Consider the following 9,113-nt stretch of genomic DNA (forward strand, 5'->3'; position numbering starts at 1 on the left):
ATTATCTAATATGTGTATGCCACACTACTCAAGAAGAGAGATGAACTATTTAATAGAAGTTATTATCATCTTTGTGGAAGTGGGTGAAATGGCTTTTCAGCAAACACTTTTGACTTTCTTTAGAAAAAGTAGCAGCTTCAATATTTGGCTATACATATTATATCTTTTGACAGGAGGATATAATCTTTTTTTTTTCTTTTTTTTTTTTTGAGACAGAGTCTCACTCTGTCACCCAGGCTGGAGTGCAGTAGCACAATCTCGGTTCGCTGCAACCTCTGCCTCCCGGGTTGAAGCGATTCTCTGGCCTCAGCCTCCCAAGTAGCTGGGATTACAGGCACCCGCCACCATGCCCAGCTAATTTTTGTATTTTTGGTAGAGACTGGGTTTCACCATGTTAGCCAGGCTGGTCTTGAACTCCTGACCTCAGGTATCTGCCCGCCTCAGCCTCCCAATGTGCTGGGATTGCAGGCATGAGCCACCACACCAGCCACTGGGCTATCAGTCTTTTAAGGTCAGAGACCCCATAGTATCCAATCCTGTGTCCTGAGTTTAGTGCAGTACCTGGACCCTGGTGGGTAGCAACAATTACTTATCTAAATGAATGAATGAGGCCAGCTCTTTATTGGTTGTGTAGGGAAATATAGTATGTCTATTATACTGAATTATAGTTCTGTATCATTTTGGCATCAATATTAATAATGATTATAAAAATAATAAAATCTAACAAGTTAACTTTTGAGTTGTTATTATGTGACGAGCAATTTCCTTACAGCAAACCCAAGGTAAATAATGTTATGTCCTCCTTTTTACAGTTGAGAAAACTAAAAAAATTGAACAACTATGAAAAAAAACAAGGACCTTCCACAGGAGACCCCTTCCTCCTTTTTGGCTACTTATCCAAGCGACTTGTTCAAGGCCACATTGCAATTTTACAAGACAGCCAGGATTAGAACCCAGTTTTCCAGATTGTCATGTGAAAAGTTTCACTTTATAAACCCCCCGGAGCCCGAGCAGTGAAGAAGAAGAGACAAGAACGACACCCTGACTGACCAAAGCCTGGGCGCCGCTGCGTCCCGCGCCCAGCGCCTACATCCCGCCGCCGTCGACGCCGCCACCATGCCCAAGACAAAGGCTGAAGGGGATGCTAAAGGAGATAAAGCCAAGGTGAAGGACGAACCACAGAGAAGATCCGCAAGGTTGTATGCTAAACCCGCTCCTCCAAAGCCAAAGCCAAAGCCTAAAAAGGCCCCTGCAAAGAAGGAAGAAGAGGTACCCACAGAGAAAAAGGGGAAAAGCTGATTCTGGCAAGGAGGGGAATAACCTTCCAGAAAATGCAGATGCCAAAACAGACCAGGCACAGAAAGCCTAAGGTGCTGGAGAGGCCAAGTGAAGTGTGTGCATTTTTGATAACTGTGTACTTCTGTACACAGTTTGTACCGTTTGAAATACTATTTTTTATCAAGTTTTATAAAAATGCAGAATTTTGTTTTACTTTTTTTTGTAAGCTATGTTGTTAGCACACAGAACACTTCATTGTTTTGGGGGGAAGGGGCACATGTCACTAATAGAATGTCTCCAGAGCTGGATTGATGGGGGAAAACACCTTTCCCTTCTAGTTTTGAGAGACTTCCTCTTGGCCCCCAGGAGGAGGGAGTCCCTGACTTTGACACACATGGCCAGCTTGGCACAAAAGCCTTGTGGTATGGAAAAACAAACTCATTTTTATGTCATCTTCCCCCTTTCCATCTCTCAGCATAGACTTAACTCCCTTAAGCCCAGATATCCACTGGGACCTGACCCTTAGTCATTGGTTACCAGCGTGTCAGGCAATCTGGACTCTCTCTTTTTTTTTTTTTTTTTTTTGAGATGGAGTCTCGCTCTGTTGCCCAGGCTGGAGTGCAGTGGCGCCATCTCGGCTCACTGCAAGCTCCGCCTCCCGGGTTCACGCTATTCTCCTGCCTCAGCCTCCCCAGTAAGCTGGGACTACAGGCGCCCGCCACCACACCCGGCTAATTTTTTTTGTATTTTTAGTAGAGACGGGGTTTCACCATGGTCTCGATCTCCTGACTTCGTGATCCACCCGCCTCGGCCTCCCAAAGTGCTGGGATTACAGGCGTGAGGCACAGTGCCCGGCCAATCTGGACTTTCCAGTGATGCCGCTGAGATGGCACCTGTCAAAAGAACAGTGGTTATCTTTCTAGATTGTGAGTCTTCAGAAAAATTCTGTTTTCATTTCACTTCCTAAAAGTCAGGGTCGGCTTGTGAAAAGTTGTTAAACAACAGGCTAAATGTGAAATGTCAACCCTCACCCTGTTCAGAGCATCAGATGAAGACTTCATTGCGTCTTTTATTGGCTTTCTGATTTTTGATAGTCCATTGAAGATGGGAATTTGAAAGTTGTTGTATACTGTTAACAATCGTCTGCCCATGTCCTGCCTGAAATACCATGATTGTTTATGCAAAGTATCTTTAATAAAGCTGTATACAGTTTGGCTTGGAAAAAAAATAAAATAAAACAAAAAATAAAAATAAAAAATTTTCCTCAATACCAGAGAAACTTTGGTGTGCTTCAGAATCACCTGCAGAGCTTTTAAAAAATACAGATCCCTGACTACTCCCATCCCACAACTCACATTCAGTGTATCTCTGGTGGATTCCAGTCATCTGCATTTAAAATAAATTCACCAATTAAATATCATATTCTGCCAACTTTTGGACCACTATTCCATAGTAAATGGCCTATTAAAAAGTGAGAGGGGCCGGGCACGGTGGCTCACACCTGTAATCTCAGCACTTTGGGAGGCCTAGGCGGGTGGATCACGAGGTCAGGAGATCGAGACCATCTTGGCTAACATGGTGAAACCCCGTCTCAACTAAAAATACAAAAAATTAGCCAGGCTTGGTGGCGGATGCCTGTAGTCCCAGTTACTCAGGAGGCTGAGGCAGGAGAATGGTGTGAACCCAGGAGGCGGAGCTTGCAGTGAGCCGAGGTTGCACCACCGCACTCCAGCCTGGGTGATAGAGCGAGACTCCGTCTCAAAAAAAAAAAAAAAAAAAAAAAAAAAAAAAGTGAGAGGGATTCCAATGACCCATTGCAAGTAAAAGGCTTTGTAAAAAAAATGTTTAGACCAAGATTTTAATAGTAACAATGTTTTTCATTGTGCAGCAGGGGCTGCCGTCCCATCATCACAGTTTGTGCCAACCCATGGGAGGCTTGGCACGTATACACACGTAAAATTGTAAGCCTGAAGTCTTTAGTTTTTATCCCATTTGGTTTTTAAGGGAAATCAAGGTTGAGAATAAGACCTCACACCTTGGAAACATAGAAAGTAAATTTATGGCCGGGCGCAGTGGCTCATGCCTGTAATCCCAGCACTTTGGTAGGCCGAGGCGGGCAGATGACAAGGTCGGGAGTCCGAGATCAGCCTGGCCAACAGGGTGAAATCCTGTCTCTACTAAAAATACAAAAATTAGCCAGGCATGGTGGCGCACACCTGTAGTCCCAGCTACTCAGGAGTCTGAGGCAGAAGAATCACTTGAACCCAGGGGGTAGAAGTTGCAGTGAGCCGAGATTGCTCCACTGTACTCCAGCCTGGGTGACAGAGCAAGACTCCGTCTCAAAAAAAAAAAAAAAAAAAAAAAAAAAGAGTAAATTTATGTACATGTTACATTAGAATGACACTGTGGACATATTTTTCTTCTTAAATATATGACTGCTAACTTTCTGAAATGTTTATTATCAATCTTAAAGCTTTGGAAATTAGCACAGTAAAACCAGCAACCACCTTTAAAAAGGTCAATTACACTCTTGAAAATTTCAGTAAATAGGAAGGTTAGATAACCTGAGAAAAGCAGGCATAGAGTGAAAAAACTGTTTTCTCTCCACTGGCATTGGTTTTCAAAATGATAGTCTATCAAATTGTGCGTTATCTGGGTAAAAATGTAACCTTTTAAAACAGGTTGCATTGTAATATGATTTTGTGTTTGTGAACCTGAAAGAAAAACTTTTCTAGATGATGAACCTAATTTACCATGTGGGAAATGATTTTAAAATAGGAAAAGAAATCCACTAAGAGGCCCTCTCTTTCTGTGAACATGAGCCTTAAGTTTCCTATAAGGGTAGGAGTCAGCAAACCTTCTCTGAAAGGGTCAGAGAGTGAATGCTGTAGGCTTGGAGACTATACAGTATTGACTGCGACTACTCAACTCTGCCGTTGTCGCACAAAAGTAGCCATAGAAAAGACATAAAAAGGCCGGGCGCGGTGGCTCACGCCTGTAATCCCAGCGCTTTGGGAGGCCGAGGCGGCAGATCACGAGGTCAGGAGATCGAGACCATCCTGGCTAACATGGTGAAACCCCATCTCTACTAAAACTACAAAAAATTAGCCGGGCGTGGTGGCGGGCGCCTGTAGTCCCAGATACTGGGAAGGCTGAGGCAGGAGAATGGCTTGAACCCGGGAGGCGGAGCTTGCAGTGAGCCGAGATGGCGCCACTGCACTCCAGCCTGGGCGAGAGAGTGAGACTCTGTCTCCAAAAAAAAAAAAAAAAGAAAATACATAAAAAATGACCATGGCTGTGTTCCAATCACGGAATGGAATGGAATGGAATGGAATGGAATGGAATAGAATAGAATAGAATAGAATAGAATAGAATAGAATTTACAGCAATAAGTATTGGGCGGAATTTGGCCTGCAAATTGTATTTTGCCAACTGTTGCTTTTCAGGCCTAAAACTATGACACTATGAAATACACTATTTGGGCTTCTAGAGGTAATAACTATAGGACATAATTATTTTAAATATTGTAAAGAAAATTAAATAACTTTGGTGTAAATGTTTATATTTCTCATACAAAACACATTCATTTCTTGATAAATTTAATACCAGTGTATACAACTTTTATAGAGTTAAGATCAGGCAGTAACTTTTTCTTTAATAATGCTTTTTTTCCTGTGTTGGGAGTATCACTTACTAAAAATATCCTAAAAGCATATTTACACACACATACACAGACCCATATCCACATATATACTTATAAGTGTCAACTAACTCGTAGTAATTAATCATGTAGTACATGTAATTAAGAGCCCGGCTTAGGAATCAAACAGGCCAGGGGTTATCTTTTAGTATGTGTCTCCCTCCCTATAATGTCTGTTTGCTCATCTACTAAATGGATAGGTAATACTTATCTCATTGGATTATTATGAGAATTAAAGAAGACAGTACATTAACATTGTGAAAAAGAAACAAAGATTAAATATTCATGTAGCATGTATAGCAATCTTTCTTTCTAGTTGTCATTGGCAACTGCTTGTCATCATCTAATAATGTCAGGACTGTAGTGTGTCAAGTACTTCATAATACCACTTAGGTACAATTAGCAGACAACTGATCAATGCTTTTTTTGGTAAAAATAATTTTTATGACCAATTCTTGTCTTGAAAAAAATAACATGATCATTTTTAGGATGAAACAGGGTTCTCCTTTAAATGCTGTGTTTCTAAGACACTCTGTTAGCTCATGGTTGGCAATAGATTTTCTCTGCTGAAAACTAAACTAAAATTTAGCTTTTTTTTTTTCATTTTAAGACAACTTTCATGGAAAAGGGCAATATTTTAAAAATCTCATCAGAAGTCTCACTTCATTAGTGATGAAGTAAGATCAAACCAGACTGAATTCTCCATAGAAAATAACCATAAACTCTGAACCTAAAACAAACAACAGCTAACCAAATCACTGGAGAGTAAGCAGAAAAGAGACTCTACGGGAGTGTACTTGTTTGGAAGAGGGGAATTCTACAAAGTGAGTTCTCATTTTCTGGAACTTTCAGCCTGAGACCAAGTGCAGATGATGCCAGAAGCAGCGGGGCTTAGAAAAGTGTGGTGGAAAATGGTCTGGAGAACCAGAAAACTGAAGTTCAGGAAATGGTTGCCATTGAAGGGAGTAAGTAAATGTTGGAAGGAAAGAGTCAGAAAGGGAGTATCTAAATTCTGCCTGCCTGTATCTTTCACTGGCTCCTTAACCACACACGTGTGGAGCAGATACAAAGCATCTCTGCCAGTAGTAATAGATCTGAAAGTGAGGCTGGGGATGGTGGCTCACACCTGTAATCCGAGCACTTTGGGAGGCCGAGGTGGGTGGATCACTTAGCCCAGGAGTTCAAGACAACCTGGGCAACTTATTGAAACCCCATCTTTAGAAAAAGTACAAAAATTAGTTGGGCATGATGACGTGTGCCTGTGGTCCCCACCACTTGGGAGGTGGAAGGATTGCTTGAACCCCAGAGGCTGAGGCTGCAGTGAGTTGAGATCATGCCACTGCACCTTAGCCTGGGTGACAGAGTGAGATCTTGGCTAAAAAAAAAAAAAAAAATTGATTTGAAAGGGGACTGAAGCTGCCACCCAACAACCAGATTTCACAGTTCAATTTTGCAAGGATTACAACAGATTAGACCACTGAAAGAACTTGAAAAGCTCCAAAGAGTACATTCATGTAAGAGTTTTATTAAAGGTAAAGAATTTGGTATATCAGGAGAAAGTACCAGCAATCATTGAGAGTCTGGGAGACTTCCAGGCACAGCTCCTTGGGTCTGACATACTCTCAATGAATATGTGCTTTATCTCAGGATTGAGTTGCAAGAGTTGTGTAATAAATCTTGGTTTCAGGAAAGCTGCCTAAAAGTTTCCAGCCAGTTTTTTCTAGTGACCTCTTAAATATAAAAGCCAAGACGAAAAGTGTAACTGGTCACACCGGGTGTCATTCATTCATAAACAAACCAGCTTTAGGTGCCTTCAGGGGAGTTTTGAACTAAAAACAGTACATTTACAAATCATTAGTTAGTCCACTGTTCTTTTCTCGGCCAAGATATAGTGCCAGACTTTCAGACATCCTAGAGGTAAACATAGAATTGTCTCAGTCCAGCCGAAAAATAATTTTGTCCTACATAAATTCTAATACAACAGTTGTCTGCTAATAAAATAACAGAGAAAAATAACAAAACCTACAATCTTAACAACTTAACATATCTAGAACACTATTAAAAATTGCCTGACATGAAAAGCCATATAAATGGAGCATAGAACCACTAGAAAAGAAAATCAACTAAGAGGAATATTGAGATGAGCCGAGTGTTAAAACAAGGGCTTTGAAGTGCTTATTTTAACTAATCTCAATAAATTAAAACAAAATATGTCCACAACTGAAGTAGAGAAATAGGAAATCTCATCAGAGAAATAAAAATAATTAAACAAAGAAAACAAATGGAAGTTCTGGAGCTGAAAAATAAAATATGTGAAAAAAATCAATAGATGGATTTAACAGCAGAATGAAGATAACAGAAGAATAAAGGAAATGAATTTGAAGATAGATTAAAAGAAAATATCCAATATGACAAAAAGGAAAAAAAAAATAAACAGAACCTCAGGGTTCTTTTTTTTTTGAGACGGAGTCTCGCTCTGTCACCCAGGCTGGAGTGCAGTGGTGCAGTCTCGGCTCACTGCAAGCTCCGCCTCCCAGGTTCACACCATTCTCCTGCCTCAGCCTCCCAAGTAGCTGGGACTACATGTGCCCGCCACCACGCCCAGCTGATTTTTTGTATTTTTAGTAGAGACGGGGTTTCACCATATTAGCCAGGATGGTCTTGATCTCCTGACCTCGTGATCCGCCCTCCTCGGCCTCCCAAAGTGCTGGGATTACAGGCGTGAGCCACTGAGCCCAGCCAGAAACTCAGGGTTCTGCTAGATGATAACCAGTGATTCTATCTATAAAATGGTTCCAGATAAACATGAAAAAGAGAATGTAGCAGAAAAAAAAATTTAATTGAAGATATAATGGTGAAAATGTCCCAAAATTTATGAAAAATAGAAATTTACAGTTTAATAGTTATACTGTTGAAAACCAAGATAAAGGGCAAGTCTTGAGAGCAGCAAGAGAAAAATAACACAGAAAAATGACATAGAAGGTAATGATAATTTAATTAACAGCTCACCACTCAGAAATTTTGAGGCCAGAAAAGAGTGAAACATTATGTGTGAAATTAAGAAAAATCTGTCCACCCAAAATTATATAACCTGTGAAAGTATTCTTCAAGAATGAAGGCAAAATAAAGATATTTTTCAGATACAAGAAAACAAGAGATTGCATCCTGATATAGTTTGTTTATTGGTCCCTGCCCAAATCTCTTGTTAAATTGTAATCCCCAGTGCTAGAGGTGGGGCCTGCTGGGAGGTGTTGGATCCTGGGGGTGGATCCCTCATGAATGGCTTGAGCCATCCCTTGGTGATAAGTGAACTCTCATGAGATCTGGTGGTTTAAAAGTATGTGGTACCACCTCCTGTCTTGTTCCTGCTACTGCCATGTGACCTGCAAGTTCCCTACTTCACCTTCTGCCATAATTGTGAGTTCCCTGAGGCCTCCCAGAAGCTGAGCAGATGCCAGCACTGTGCTTCCTGAAAGCCTGCAGAACGATGTGCCAAGAAAATGTCTTTTCTTGATAAATTTTACCCAGTCTCAAGCTTTTTGTTTGTTTGTTTTTGTTTTTTGATACAGGGTCTTGCTCTGTTGCCCAGGGTTGTGTACAGTAGCATGATTACAGCTCACTGCAGAGATCACAGCTCACTGCAGCCTCAACCTCCCAGGCTCAAGCAATTCTCCCACCTCGGCCTCCCAAGTAGCTGGGACTACAGGCATGCGTCAGCACACTCAGCTAATTTTTGTATTTTTTGTAGAGATGGGGTTTCACCGTGTTGCCCAGGCTGGTCTCAAACTCTTGGGCCCAAGCAATCCTCCCACCTTAGTCTCCCAGAGTGCTGGGATTACAGGTGTGGGCCACCGTGCCAAGTCTACAGGTATTTCTCTAAAGCAATGCAAGAATGGCCTAATATACATCCCCAGCAAAACTACACTACAAGAAATGCTGAAGGAAGATCTTCAGGCCAGAGAAAAATGTTGTCAGATGAAAAATGAGATCCTCAGAATTAGGAACATTAAAAATAGTAAATACCTGTGTAAATGCAAAAAAGTATTTCATTGATTTATTTTGCTTTTTCCCTTTTAATTTTACTATAATTTAAATAATGGTTTTAAACCACAATTAAGATATTGTCTTATGACAT

General features: G+C 41.0%; 1 pseudogene; it reads left to right on the plus strand.

Moving 5' to 3' along the window:
* Window positions 986-1,590, plus strand: HMGN2P29 (high mobility group nucleosomal binding domain 2 pseudogene 29; annotated as a pseudogene).
* Window positions 1,591-9,113: the final 7,523 nt, after the last annotated feature.

The sequence above is a fragment of the Homo sapiens genome, chromosome 6 (assembly GCF_000001405.40).
Source record: "Homo sapiens chromosome 6, GRCh38.p14 Primary Assembly".
Classification (NCBI taxonomy): domain Eukaryota; kingdom Metazoa; phylum Chordata; class Mammalia; order Primates; family Hominidae; genus Homo; species Homo sapiens.